This window comes from Homo sapiens, chromosome 4 (genome assembly GCF_000001405.40).
Source record: "Homo sapiens chromosome 4, GRCh38.p14 Primary Assembly".
NCBI lineage: Eukaryota > Metazoa > Chordata > Mammalia > Primates > Hominidae > Homo > Homo sapiens.
The window spans coordinates 165,377,223-165,392,155 of record NC_000004.12 but is presented as its reverse complement, the minus strand read 5'-3'; the positions used below and the strand labels follow the sequence as shown (position 1 = coordinate 165,392,155).

Genomic DNA, 14,933 nt, shown 5'->3' with positions numbered 1-14,933 from the left:
CAAATAGTTTTACCGTCTTGATGAGGGAAATCAGCCCCAAAGCACAGCACCCCCAAAACTGCATTCTCTAAACAAAAATTTTCTGTAGATGAAAATTTCACATGTTAATGGAACATAATTATCTGGCACAATGTATCTTGAATGCTTATATGTCACACATTCAGAACAATGAAGAAAAAGACACAAGAAATGTGAATGATTTTTTACTAGCTTAGAATAAAGTCCTCTCTTTGACTTTCCATACCTTATGCATCTTTTAAGTCCTGCTCAAAGCTCCACCTCCTTCTGAAAGCCCTCCACTGTAGACCACTCTCTTATAACTCCCTGAAGAATTAGAGTCAATACCTTCATACAAAGTACTTGGTAAAATACTGTTGTTTCTTGTTCCCTTTTGAAATACCTCTTCAATCTGCAGAATGTCACTCATATAGGAGGCACTTAGTTATTATTGTTAAATAAGTACATTCGCGCTACAAATATAATAACCTATACAGAAATGAAAGATGCAGTATTTCGTTTACAGCCCTCTACTACTCAGAGTTTGATTTCCAAATGTGGCCTGGTTTGAAAGCATTTCTACCTGGAATTTCCAAATGCCTGGTGAATGAATGTCTTTGTTTTTTCTCAGTGATCTGTCCAATTAGGATGATTTACACTGCAAGTTGTTAGTAGGGCCTTTTTGATAATAAAGTATTCTTACTACCTTGGTCTGAGGGCTGAGAATATTATGGAAAATGAAATATGTTCCATGAATGAGAGCCTTCTTGGCCTTTTGGAAATGTTGGCAGAGGTATGAATGTTTTCCCTGTACTACTGTCTTTATGGAGCCCATGAATGCATTAGCTTTGTCCAATGAATTTTTGAAAAAATATTAACAAGTCTCACTCTTCTGTACATTCATTTAAGAAATGCATTCTCATTGATTCACTTTCCCTGTATGCAGAGGTCACAAAATTATAGTATCCAATGAGTTCAGCTTCAATGTTAAAATAATAACAGCAACAAGAATAACAGTTTTAAAACTATTCAGGAAAAATACCTCACACTGAATTGATGTCCCTGAAAATTAGGTGTAATTTTTTAAGATACAGTTTGTGCAAACTGAAATAGACTCAAAGGAGAAGGGAAAATGTTTGTTAAAATAGCATAAGGTGCCCTCACTCTCATCTATCCAGTAATCTGAATCTATATTAAAAAGCATACTCAGAAGTCTCGAAACAATAGAAAAGGATCTCAAAAATATTAAAAATATCACATAGTTCATGTTTCCCACTGCTGGAGAGAAACCTAGAGTTGTCCTCAACATACAACCTAACAATTTAGACACATGAGTAAAATGAATATACTCTTCTAATGAAGTTTCTCATGTTCACTCCATAGTTAACTAGTGGAGAGGAAATTAGAAATTGAAATGGGTTTGACAAGTAGAGTAAAAATGTGTGTTACTCATACATATGAAAATATAAAAATGCTACTAATCCCAATGCTACACTGACCAGTGGAATACTGAAACTAACCCATTATGGACAATGGGGAGACAATTCTAAGTATTTAATAACATTCAACCCAAAAGTTATTCTAATTTGAAGGAGGCTAATTTGAGGAAAGTTTATAGAATTCTTCCTATGCATTAACACATAGAAGCATTTTTATCAGGTATTTTGCACATGTTCAACACCTCTAAAGTTTTCTGCAGCTCATACATTTGGAATCAAGAAATGGCGGCAAAAATTCTTCCAGAGGAGGAAGTCTCCGTATTTTAAGTACTGAGTCTGACCCATTGTATGGAGAAATTAATGTTAAATGCAAGAACAGAATGAGGACCTGCATCTCACTGAGTAGACTGAAGGCAACACAGAACCAGGGCTCAATATAGAAAACACCAGAACAAGAAACACGACCAGCCTAGGGTGGAACATTAACATAAGACCCAGTTGGTGACAAAATATACATGCCAAGCACTGTGGATACAGTAATTAATCTGCCAAAGATAGCCACCTCTCCTCAAGGTCACCATTCTAGAAGGAAGGCAGAATTATGGATTGATATAACTATTTGCCTTGCAGCTGGAGAAGCAGGTGTGCTTGCATGCATGTCAATGGTTTGGCAAAGTGTGTATAACTAGATCTAATATGTGTGTCATTCATTCTGAAGTGTTCACTCACTCACCACTTTCAACAACACATCAAGAACCTACTATAGACCTGCACCAGATGGTTCACTCTGAAATGTGCAGTCACTATCTTGATTCCAGGAGAAGACAGACAAGTTTGAAAAAGACTCCTTAAGAAATGAGAAGACATTTCACTTTATAATTTGGCAACTGTGAAAATAAAGCACTGACAATATAAAATATGTCCTAAATCTAATTGAAATTCTAATTTTCACTAGATGTTTGGACTTGTTCATTTATTATGCTAGTGGCATTTAATAATATTTATTTGCCAAATAATTTTACAGAGCTTAATTTATAAATGGCCGTTAAGTCACCTCAACCTTCTAACAGTTTTAGCATGTTTGGCTATGAAATTAGTTCTCAAGGACTGTTCTCCAGGGAGGAAGACAACTCCAGCACAACCAATACTTGAAGCCATGAAGTTGTAACCTATCTCAGAAGGTATCCGGTTAACATTCTGTTGAAAGCAAAGGCAAAGTTAGCCCAACTGTTTAAAAACCCAGAGAACAATAATAGCCCAAGAAAACTTCCTGAAAAAAACATTCTTGAGAAATCATATTTTTTACAAGAACCAACCTCTCAGATTAAAGAAAAAACTCTCAATTCCTGACAATAGCTATAAGTAGAAGTAAAAACAAGAAAAACAAGGGCTATTTTATAGATAGGAGTGAAATCTATAAATATAAATAGTTAAACTAATTTGAAATTTAAAACAAAGACGACTTCTGCATTCACAATTATCTTGCCATCATCGAACCCTAAATAAAACCTATATGTCTAGATCGTATTTCAGTCTATTTAGCTACATAGTATCATTCATTATATATCTATGTAATAGTATTCACATGAGATTTATCTATCTCTATATTTTTATGGCTTTAGCATTTTCTCAAAACTGAATTTGACTCTTGAGAAAATACATGTAGCAGCTGATTTCTCTTTGTGTGAGCTCTATAAAGGTCTTGTTGATTTTGTGGAGTTAATGCAGTTTCCAAAAGTGCATTAAATTAATTCCCCTGATGCTGGTTATGTTGAAAATCTGGCTTAACATTTACTGAGTTCCCACAATGAATAAGACTGGTTTCCTCTAGTAAACTTAAAGAAAAAAAATCTGTGCTGAACAATGTCAAGATCTGAGACAAATGAAAATGTTTGAATAGGACTGTTGTACTTTAAAATCAGATGTCCAGCACTGCAACTAAAACACAAAAAGGACAAAAAGTATTTCATTTTGCAAATGTCTTTAACATTTTCAGTAGTTTCCCCTACAGATATTGTCTTTGTGTTTGCTACATTAAGAATAAGATAGAGAAGCCTTCAACCCCTGCATCATATGCAGCAGGCATTACGCAGAATCAAGTAATGTATCCACTGGTTATACAGTATGCAATATAAGCTCAACGTGTGTGAAAGAGTGAATCCAAAGCAAAAAAATGAAATAACACATTTCAAGGAACGCAATGGCATTGCCTCAAAGGGTGACCAACAGGTAAAGTAAAATGGCATGGACATAGTAGGTGTTCATTAAATAGTCCCTAAATTACATTGAAATTATTAGTTCTATTTAAAAAAGGCCTATATTTTCATCTTGGAAAGTTAATTTCAGTGTGGAATGCCACACAGTAATATTTTATAATAGCTATGAAGAAAGGTTGTTTTAGAAATTACCACTTGGCTAAAAAAAGAAAAGGAAAAAGGGTATTCAAGACCTGGGTCAGGAAGGTGACAATCTGATCTTTATATTGAAGTTTCACTACCCTGAACTCATGGCTAAAGGTTATGATTTGTGCAAATTTTGAGCAGAGTTCTAGAAATAAGCTATTTCTTGGAGAAAACATTACACAATGGCAGTGACTAGCAGCTGCATAGTGAAGGAAAGATTTTATGATTTTAAATACTTTCGCCTGTATAGGAAGAGAAATTGGATAGGTCCAATCAGTCAGCATCACTTTGGGATCTGAACATATGAGGAGTTGCCTACATTGAGCAAATAAATGCGATAATTATTGTTCCTTCTAATTACCTTGACATGCATAACCACAGCAAGAAATTTTGGGGGGCTGGGCACAGTGGCTCATGCCTGTAATCCCAGCACTTTGGGAGACCGAGGCGGGCAGATCCCCTGAGGTCAGAAGTTCAAGACAAGCCTGACCAACATGGAGGTCTTTTTGTTTTAACAGAGTCTCACTCTGCGCCCAGGCTGGAGTGCAGTGGTGCGATCTCGCTCACCACAACCTCCGCCTCCCAGGTTCAAGCGATTCTCCTGCCTCAGCCTCCTGAGTAGCTGGGATTACAGGCATGTGCCACCACGGCTGGCTAATTTTTGTATTTTTAGTAGAGACGGGGTTTCACCATGTTGGTCAGGCTGGTCTTGAACTCCCGACCTCGTGATCCACCCGCCTTGGCCTCCCAAAGTGCTAGGATTACAGGTGTGAGACACCACGCCCGGCCAGGAAGAGGTTTTTTAGCAACCTGAATTTAAGTTATATTTAGGCTTATTTAGAAAATAAACAATTTGCATCCATTTTAAAATAATGAGCCTTTGTTTGAAATGAAATGTCTTCAAATGAGGGGATTATTATAGAACTATGATGTTTAGCAATGATTTGATAGTAAAGAGATTTCTGTAGAAAACAAAATATTTACCAGTAGTGGAAAGTTGTTCCACGGTGTATTATCATAAGTAATTCATTTATCTTTGCTTAACAGCCATCTCTTTAATACTCCACATGTGCCACCCTACCCTTCAAAGATTACTCATCTAGGGACAGTTAAAGAAGTGGGTAAATCATTTGAAAATCATAAAAGACACTAGTAACACAAACAGGCTCTTCTCTTAGGCCATGTTTTATTAGAAAAAGCTGGCTGTTAGATCACTTACAAAACACCATATCCTGAATGTTCAAAGAAAGAGAAACGTTCACAGAGCAACGGACTCACGGCAATTCCAGTAATTAATGAGAAGGAAACAAAAGGGCAAATTTAAACATGTTTCAAATTTAAGTTCATTTGACCCATCACGTAGCTCGGATAAACCTCCTCCTCTGTGGCATTTCAAAGTGCACGATTTGAATACCATTTCATGAGAAAAAGGAAAATGAAAACCTGGAGATACATATCTTCTGTGTTAAAAACAAGCACACAGTTCTTAGTTTTCAACACTCAGGTCTCATGCAGAGTTTTTAAAGGTCAAAATTTTACTAAATAAATGCTTACCAATTATCTTTAAAATGTTTATTTAACACTTAAAAAGCAGCTTAACTTTCTAAGATGTCTGAAGACTCTTCTCTTCCAAAAGGAAGACAGCCCCTTACTAGTCCAGTTATATGAGACAACAAACACAGCAAGTTCAGCACTGAAACTTGAAAAGACATGTAATTCACATTGGTATATTTCTCCATTATGCAAAACTGGATTCAGTGCACACAAAAAATAAGCATATGCAAAAGAAAAGTACCATCTCTATCCTTTCTTGTTATCACACTACTGGCATGCTAATATGCATGATGTCAACATCGACCAACATGGCTTTGTTTTATGATATGCATTTTTGCCTATTTGAGAAATTTCATTTATTCAAACATATTCACTGAGTGGCCACTATGTCCCAAGCATAATACTAGACATTCAGGATTAAAAAATATATATAAACAAAATACAATCCTAGAGCACAAGAAGCTACAGGAGCTATAGGAGCTTCTTGTTGTCCGGGATTGTATTTTGTCTATAGATTTATCTGTAGACCAACAGTGGGAAATACCATAATGAGGTAATAATAATTGTTGCCACATATTGAATTAAGAACTTTATATTTACCACCTCATTTAATCATCACATTATTGTCATTTCATAGGTGATGAATTTGGGAGATAGAGAGAAGTTAATTGACTTGCCCAGGGACACTCAGCTAAAAATAAGAAGCCTCAGGATTTGAGCTCAAGTCCCCTGACATCAAAGTCCACACTGTAATTCTTTACAGCTCTCCAAAGAAATATGGAAGCATAAAGAAAGAGCCCCAGCAGGGGTAAGAAAGTTAGGGAGCGGGGAGAAAGGAGGTTTCAAAGAGCTTTTGCTTCTGCTGAGACTGTAAAAGACTAAGTTAGTCAGGACTGGAGCAGTTTCATCATAAATTCTTTAGGAAAATAAGTCAGATTGCCAATGAAAATGTTGATATTGCCGTAGATTTATTTGGCTACCTAAAGAAACAACCATAAAGACATTCTCAAATACTGATGCACACTTTGTTCCTATTGAGTGTCCTATTGAGTGACGCTTGCTTGATTCAAGCTTGCTTGATGATTATTGTTCATCATCATGTCAAACTGAAGAAAAGCAAGAATGTCCCACATTTTAAAATTGATAAAAGGCAAACAGGCAGGGTGTGGTGGCTCACATCTGTAGTCCAGCTATTCAAGAGGCTGAGGAGGGAGACACCTTGAGCCCTAGAGTTCAAGGCTGCAATGAGCCATGATCGTGCCACTTCACTCCAGCCTGGGTGACACAGCAAGACCCCATCTCAAAAAAAAAAAAAAAAAAGCAAACATTTGTGAACAAAAATAAAACAGTAAGAAGAGGGAAAAAGTCCTTCAGGGCTATCAACTAAGCCTGTGCAACAGCATCCTAAGAGGAAAGCATTTGGCAGGATTGGTGGAGGCAGATCTCACGTGACGATGCAGCCAAGAGTGCCTACTCTAAATGAGTGTAAAGGCCATGGAGCACAGTTTCCAGACCAACTGAAAGTAAAAAAAGAATATTTACAAATTAGCATTTCTTTTTAATAACCAGATGTAAGCAACTTCATTAAATGTGTTTCTATATACTACACTACTTTGGCCTCACAGCGATCCTGTGAGTTCTGTGTTCTTAACGTATTCCCTTGTCATACACAAGGAAAAGAGGTGAACAAAAGTAAAAAGCATGAAGCTATTTAACAATAAAAGAAGAATTGTGGTGCATTTGTCTAACTTTAATCATTTTCATCAAAATTATGTGTCCTTTTCAGCTCTGTAAGAGAGAGAAAAAAGCAAACAAACAAAATTATTTCTCCTCTGCCTCATTGCCTCAGAATCATGCTCTGATTCTAAGCAAAACTTAAAAGCCTACTCTACATAAACCACTACACTAGCTGTTTATGGAGGGAAAAAATGGAAAACATATGTTCCCTACCCCTGAAGAGCTCCCTGTATGAGGCCCTCTGCTGGAGAATTGCCAACTGAATCATTTTTTTCTTTGTTCTACATCCAGTCTCATGTGACAAATGAATCTTTAATACTATGATAAAGAATGATAATGGGCTAATGGAAGTGTAACACTACTTCCAAGATAAGCTCCCTTTTTTATTGTTGTTGTTGTTATTTTGTTTCTGAGATAGGGTCTCGCTCTGTCGCCCAGGCTGGAGTGCAGTGGTACAATCATGGCTCACTGTAGCCTCAAATTCCTGGGCTCAAGCGCCCTCCTAAGCCCCCCAAGTAGCTGGGACTACAGGCAAATGCTACCATGCCCAGCTAATTTTATTTTTTTGTAGAGACAGGATCTCATGATGTTGCCTAGGCAGATCTCAAACTCCTAGCCTTAAGCACTCCTCCTGCCTCAACCAGGTGTGAGCCACCAGCCAGCGGGAGAGGAGGAAATCCCATGGTAAAAGCCTGGGAAATCTTATACAGTACGAATCTAACTTGGAGATTTGAAACATACATTAGCCTATTAAGAGCTCTGTTAGGTCTTTCAATATACAAACCTGTTTATCTTTGTTTACATAATGCCTATCAAACCATGCTGAATATATGTTCTATGGAATATATTTTGAGAAAAGCTGGGTTAATGTGTCACCCGTTACAAGAGCTATTTTGTATTTCTTAATAATATTTAGAAATAGGATTTCGCCCCGTGGTAAGACGGTAAGGGAGTTACTAGCAAATGAGTCGTCTGCCACCTCTGAAATCAGTTGTCACAGAAAGCTGCCTCTTTTGTCTGAGCAAAGGCTATCATGTAGGGGCAAGCCCAACTTGCCTTCTCTTCCATTAACCAATTACAAGTCAATCAAGAACATCACTTCTGGCAAAAGCTGTGTTGACTCATTCAGGTCTAAAAATAACTCTTGACCATGTGTGGTAGGTCTAGATTCTTCTCTAGGATCTAACATCTATCTTCACGAATTTTAAGTTGTTACTTAGTTGTAACCATTTGCCACTAACACATACTAATCTGCTATAAAAAGACGCCATACAAATAATAAAAATCCCCACTTATTTTTTTCAAGTTGTGTGGAAACTTTGCCAGCATTAAATGTTCCATCACAATATTTGGCAAATTCATACTGGCATTTATACACTTTATATTTTAACAGATTCAGAGAGGAATACGTCCAAAATAATCATTCCAGCCTTTGAGAAAGAAAAATCCTGCTCTAAAGAATGTTTTTGAGATAGCGTTTTAGCTATAAATCAGATTTACTTCCCAAAAGCTATCTTGAACTACGTGTAAAAGAAATAGTGTTTTAAGCAAATTAATCTTAACTCATATTTAACTCCGGGTCGAGTGGTCTGGGAACACAGAATCCATTACTTAGACATAAGTTAATAAAGGTTTCTTTTATGAGTACTGTATTTCGATGATGGATATACATGCCTAGGAAGGCATATGTTTGGGTTTGAATACGTGAGTCCTTAAGCATGGAAATAAGAAAAAAGTATAAAATCTAAGTAAAAGGAAAGAAAAACGGGAAAAATGATCATGCCTAGCAGGTATGATATCTAATGGGGACATATTTGAGCACTTAGAATCAGCCCCTAGCCTAGTCTAAGCCCATTCTTCATCCCAGTTCCAAATGGGCCACAAACACTAACTCCCAGTGTAGAGGAAACCCATCTGGGGTCCAGACTTAACAATGTCTGAAAAGATGAGACCAATGACAGGACCATTTGTGATTCTGCTTATTGAAATTGGCTGCTACTCGCAACTCTCTTTCAATAGATTTTTGCAGACCTCAGAAGTGATACAAAATGATGACTGAGACCCAACATTCAGCTGGTCAACAATCAAGCTGATTCCTAAGATGTCATCACAGAATAGGTTTGGCTATTCCTCAATGACCAATTCAAAATGGAATTTGCTTTGCCTTTTGATGAATTCAAAAGTTGAACATCTTGCAAAGAAAGTCATTTTCAGGAGATAACCTCAACTACACCCCATGTCCTGTACCAAGCATGTATAAAGATCACTTCTTTCTGCTCAGGAAGAGAGCTAATTGTATCAACAAACATCTCTGTCCAAAAACTGCTAGTCTAACAAAGTAAACCTCTAGCTTGCTTATTCTACCACAAGAAAGGGCTTTTTGTGGGTATGTTGTTGTATTTTCTTGGAGTTCTTCTGTTACGACAACTAAATCCTTAGAAATCCACTGTTTTTTTAATGTTCAGGAAAAGAATCTAGATTAAGAAAACTAATCAACAAATCTGACACCTCTCTTGCTGGAAAATAAAACAAAAGTGAGCAATTTCACCTCAAAATTTCAGTCAAGTAAACACATTTCTTAAGTTCAATATTATTTCCTAAAGCTGAATCAGAAAGGTTATTTCAAACCAAAAAATAAGGTACTTAAAAGGTGAAAATAGTAAAGACAATTGGCCCTTTTTCAAAAGCAGGGGTCCTAGTGAAGACAGATATCTATACCAGCTATTTTGGAATTTGTAAATGTCAACAAACTGTACATTTCCTGTCTTTTGTCATCAATTCTTCAATAATCCAGTCTCCCTGACCTGCTGACCTACTGTCTTTTGTCATCAATTCTTCAATAATCCAGTCTCCCTGACCTGCTGACCTACTGTCTTTTGTCATCAATTCTTCAATAATCCAGTCTCCCTGACCTGCTGACCTTACTGTCTTTTTCTCCAGTCCTCCCAAAGCCGATCTTGCAGCCTCACATCCCTTTATGCTGTTCTTCAAGCTCCCAATTCTCTATTGCCCTCAGGGCAAGCGACTATCTTCTGTGTTATCTTCTATGGGTTGTGCAGAGGCACAACTCACAGACGCCTGGTCCACCTTGAGTATACAGGTGCTCAAAAAAAACACTGAATGAGCCCACTTGTACCTCAGAATAAGTATTCCTTTTTACTTCTTAAAATAGTTTAACCTAAAAGAAACTGAAAGGCCATTTAAGAATGGTGAACATTTTCCTTTTTCCAAACTTCCTTAAAGTTAATTCACACAAGCACCATCAAACTTGTATACTGATCAGATCTCTATATTTACTAGTTTCCTGAAGATCTCTAACCTCCTTGACGCTCATAAAAGGTGATGGAGGGGGATATCACCTTGTACTTTTGTTAGTGTTGGTTTATAATAGTTTATTTCTACTTTTAAAAATATAAGGGACACAGACATTTTGTATTCTATTAGTAATACCATAGACTTAGAGTCTCCTTCATTTAAAAAGGAATTGTAAAGTACATATTGTACAACACTTCCGAGTTTGTCTCTGTAAGAGGAATTCAATCAACGTATTTTGAATGTATGAAGAATAAAACATTTTATTTTAATACACTGTGTTATGCAGCTATTGATGGATTCATTTTTTCCACACTGCATATTCAGTATTTTTCCATAATGTAGATTATTTCATAATGTATATTCAAGCCCGCTGTGTGCCAAACATGAGCTGGGTGCTGGAATCAGGGTCCCCACTTCATACAGCTTGCAATCTAAAAGAAGGATTTGCAAACCTTGATGAACTATATATTCCAGATACTTAAGCAAAGAAATCATTGTTTTCATTTTCTAAAGCATATCACATTCTAACTGTAATATCACTTTAAAATTTTATTTCCAAATTTGAAACAACAAAAAGTTAAACATTAGCTTTCATATAATCTCTTGAAGTAACAACGCAAAAAACTCTGGGATCAATCTACAAAATAGAGTAACAAAGGGTTCTCATTAAGTAAGCAGCAGGAGACTCACAAATACTTACATTAGCTTTAACTGTGCCTAGGATATCTTGGCTTTGGTTATTGGATTTAGCTGAAAATCAGTTATCACATTTTAAATTTTTCCCTGTCTTCAGATAACAGTATGAAACTAAGTTTCAAAATGTCCAATCCTACATGCTGAATCCTGGTAGATAAGAGTAGTTAATATTAAATGTTTTCTAGGATCTGATCTTAGAATTTTGACAGCAAACTTACATGAACCTTTTTTTCTTATATTATTTGAAGGTAAGAAATATTTCCTGAAGATTTATTCTTGATCAACCCACCTACTATATATTTGAAGATCAAAATGTCTATTGATCACTTATTTTAATCTCTTCTCAGTTTGGTTCTTACGTATCATTATAAAACTATACTGGCCCTGCACTGAGAATTTTTAGCCTACTTTTCTTGCTTGCTTTGTCATTAAACAAAAATTAAGCATCCATCCCATGCTGATATTATTAGCACAGATTACTTTAGCTGTACCTTGATTATCAGAAGACCAGGCCCAAATTATTTCCTAAGCAGAAACATAACGAAAAAAGTCCCAAGAACATTTTTAAATACCTCTTTATTAATACTAAATGCATCACAATTAACATAAACCAAAAGGTGCTTTAATATACTCCTAGGAAAGACGAATACAGATGGTTATTTGGGAACATCAGTTGGAATAAAGACCCCATCACAAACTATTCATCTCAAATGGTTATAGCAGAGAAAATGGAATACTCCTTTTTCCTTGGAAAGGCCTTGTGCAGTTTCAAAATCTGGTTTCAAAAGTCAGAAACCACTTTTCACCCTGGTAGGAGGAGGGGCACCAACGTATCTTTATACACCACCACCCCAGATTGGCAATATCCCTAAGATTCCCCAAGCATCCACAGCAGCGAGTGTACCTAATACGTATACACACACAGGTAGAGATGGGTACACAGAGCCAATAAACTGGTCCTCTGGAAATTAGAGAAAACATGATAAATGACTCTTTCTCCCTCGTTCTCCTTTCCTCTCAATCACTGCCTTCTGCACCTTATCTTTCTACTCTTGTCAGCAAGGAAGACCAACCCCCCTTGCGGGGGACTCGCAATCATTCCTTTGGGTTTTTCACACAGCAAAGTGAGAGCGACCGCTGGGGTTGCGTGCGTCAGGATTTGTTTTTTCTGTATTGCTATCCCCCCCATCCCCCGCCACCCCAGCCTCCCAAGCCTATACTTACTAGAGGGTGGCCTAAGGTCTGGGGAGATGGGATTGGTGCTGGGGGGATGGGACGGGAAAGCAGAAATTGGGCCACTGGCGCTCTAAGTCGGGTTCTTCCCCATTTCCATCCCTCCCTCCACTTCCCACCTTCCACCTTAGATACCTTTTACCAAGAGGCACCCCTGGGCCCATCCCTCCCTCCTTCCCCCACCGCCACCAGTCCCACCCTCTGCCGCCCCCCTCCGGGATGCCCCCAGGGCTGTCAGGGGGCAGCGCCCTTACCAGGCTCATGGACGCCAGGGTTGTCGGACAGCTCGATGACCAGGAGCTCCCGGCCCTCGAAGCTGCGCCCCACCGTGTAAATCCTGCTGATGGCGGTGCACTGCAGCCACACGGACACGAGCGCCTCGCGCAGCTCGGGGTAGCGGTGGTACTCGAAGGAGATGCCGTCCTCTTGCTGCAGCCGCCGGCGCCGCCTCATGCCCGCCGCGGGCGCCCCGGGCTCCTGGGCTTCGGCGCCCAGGAGCCACCCGCAGGCAGCCAGTGCCCCGCACAGAGCCAGCAGCGCGCTGCCCCCTCGCCCGGCCATCGCTGCGCTCCGCCGCCGCCGGCCGTGCCTTCCTACGCGGGCGGCCTCTTTTGTCTGCCCGGCCCTGGGCTTAGCCCGCCGGCGCTGCTGGGGGCGGCAAGTTCCGCACCAGCCTCTACTCGCCTCACCTTCCCCGGCTGAATGAGTGTCAGCCCGCGCACTGGGGCCACCCAGAGGAGACGGGCAAAGCCGCGGCTCCACGGGCTGCACTACTGGCCGCGGAGCCCAGGGGAGCTGCAGGAGAAACCACTGCGAGGAGGGGGCCGGCGGAGAGACGGGCCGGCGTGGATCTGGGAGGGCTGCTGGCGTTATTTGCTGGCTCGGAACCACGTCAACAGCCAAATGGCGTCCGGGACGACGCAGGTGAAATGACAGCTAAGGTCCGGGGTTCGGGAACGTTACTGTCATTGAGACACCCATGACCCACCCACGTCACTGCGTATGGAAAAAATATTCTTGTATTGTTAGTGGAGCCTTTTAAAGGGACATCTATTCCAAGCCTACCAGTTTCCATCTTGATCCACCAAGAATTAGAGAATATTCCAGAAAAAAGGAAGTACTGGCAGCCACTTGCCATCTCCTGATGCGTCTTTCATAATTGTATCAAGAGTCAAAACACAAACCCAAGGGTTGGGTTTTCATTTATTAGAAGGTCTTGCTGGAAATCAGAACATTAAGTGCTTTGATTTAGAGGTTTAAGAGAATAGAAATGCTTTCTTCCAATTTGTAGATACTGTCCTTAATTGTATTTATGCACATTCCTAGATTCTTCCAGAAAACAAACAGACAAAATAAATAAGGCAATGTCATATGGCTGTGCCTGCACCAGCCCTCCTCTTTAATACTATGGGGAAAATAAGTACAACTCTGCTGATGCTTTAGACAAAGGATTTAGTTTGGCATTAAGATTAAATCCTGTTAAGAAAACTCTGATGATGACATGACACCTCCGTTCCTTTTGCAAAGCTATTGTAAAAATAAAAAATCATTTACAGCTTTAAATATCCACCCCTTAGTCGGGATTTATATTCCTGGAGCAATGTCTGGAGCAGATGTTACTCTAAAGAGGCTGCTGTTTGGATTCAGGGACAGCACAAATCTAAATTAATAAATAATCCATTGGGTATTGCAACCGAGCAGGAAAAGTGGACACCATGCGGGTAATTTTCCATGTTAAGCTTCTTTGTTTTTCTAAACTTGTTCATTCTTCACCTGTTTAACAATGCATTGCACATAATAAAAACTTTTACGTGGAAAAGGAGTTAGATATTTAAGTCATCTTATTGGATCAATAAATAAAAGCACAGACATGGTTGGTAAGGTGCTGCTGGAGGGGCTGGCTTTAAACACCCCTATGTACATATACTACAGCAGCATGGATCTTCTTTTTTTTTTTTTTTTTTTTTTTGCGTTTTCGGGGAGAAACTGTCACTGTAAACACATGGCACTCAAGTTGAATTGATGTGGATCCAGCCATTTTTTTTTTTGTCAATGTAGGCAGAGCTAAAAATTGTATATTTTCCACTATGACCAGTCTGTGCTTGATTACATGGTCCAGAAGTTTGAAATCAAACTTATAATTATATTTCTAAAACCATGCCCAAAACAGCAACCTTGGAAGCCTAGAAAAAAAAATTGAGTAGCTAAAACCAAATAACTTCAGAAGTAGGAGGTTAAGATTTTCATGTTAGCAATTTAGAGTAACCACACTAATTTGTGGCTAGGTGGGGCATACTGACTAGTAACTACACACATAAACAACATATTTTTCATTGAAGTCCTGTGTTGTTCCTTAGCTGTCTCTTTGAACAAAGGATATGCGTTCTATTTTCTCCAAAATAAAAAATTTTGGAATGAAAACTTGGTCTTTGAATTTCTGGGCTATTTTTAGGTGTAGGTCAGCTGTACCAACTTTACTGGCATATGTATTACTTGTTTGTGGCTTCATAGGCAATTATACAAAAGATTATATATCCACCCTGATTGCTGGATTTAAAAA

At 38.8% G+C, this 14,933-nt stretch overlaps 1 protein-coding gene and 1 non-coding gene across 2 annotated transcripts in view, besides 2 other annotated features; both read right to left on the bottom strand.

Annotated features, from left to right (window-relative positions):
* CPE (carboxypeptidase E) overlaps positions 1–13,148 on the bottom strand; it is a 119,540-nt gene extending 106,392 nt beyond the window's left edge. Inside the window, exon 1 of the mRNA NM_001873.4 lies at positions 12,628–13,148. Within this exon, the coding sequence (NP_001864.1) occupies positions 12,628–12,934 (307 nt within the window). The 5' untranslated portion in view covers positions 12,935–13,148. The remainder of the gene's footprint in view (positions 1–12,627) is intronic.
* MIR578 (microRNA 578) lies at positions 5,819–5,914 on the bottom strand. The gene has a single exon (NR_030304.1). It is a non-coding gene; the product is annotated as a microRNA 578 (primary transcript).
* Positions 10,832–11,376: an enhancer, noted in NCBI's record as "NANOG hESC enhancer chr4:166301932-166302476 (GRCh37/hg19 assembly coordinates)". NCBI's record gives its function as "activates a minimal SCP1, AML or CMV promoter by ChIP-STARR-seq in primed H9 embryonic stem cells {active_cell/tissue: H9 hESC(primed)}" and the evidence as "EXISTENCE:reporter gene assay evidence [ECO:0000049][PMID:30033119]".
* Positions 12,856–13,115: a silencer, noted in NCBI's record as "silent region_15785". NCBI's record gives its function as "represses an Ori minimal core promoter by ATAC-STARR-seq in GM12878 lymphoblastoid cells {active_cell/tissue: GM12878}" and the evidence as "EXISTENCE:reporter gene assay evidence [ECO:0000049][PMID:35858748]".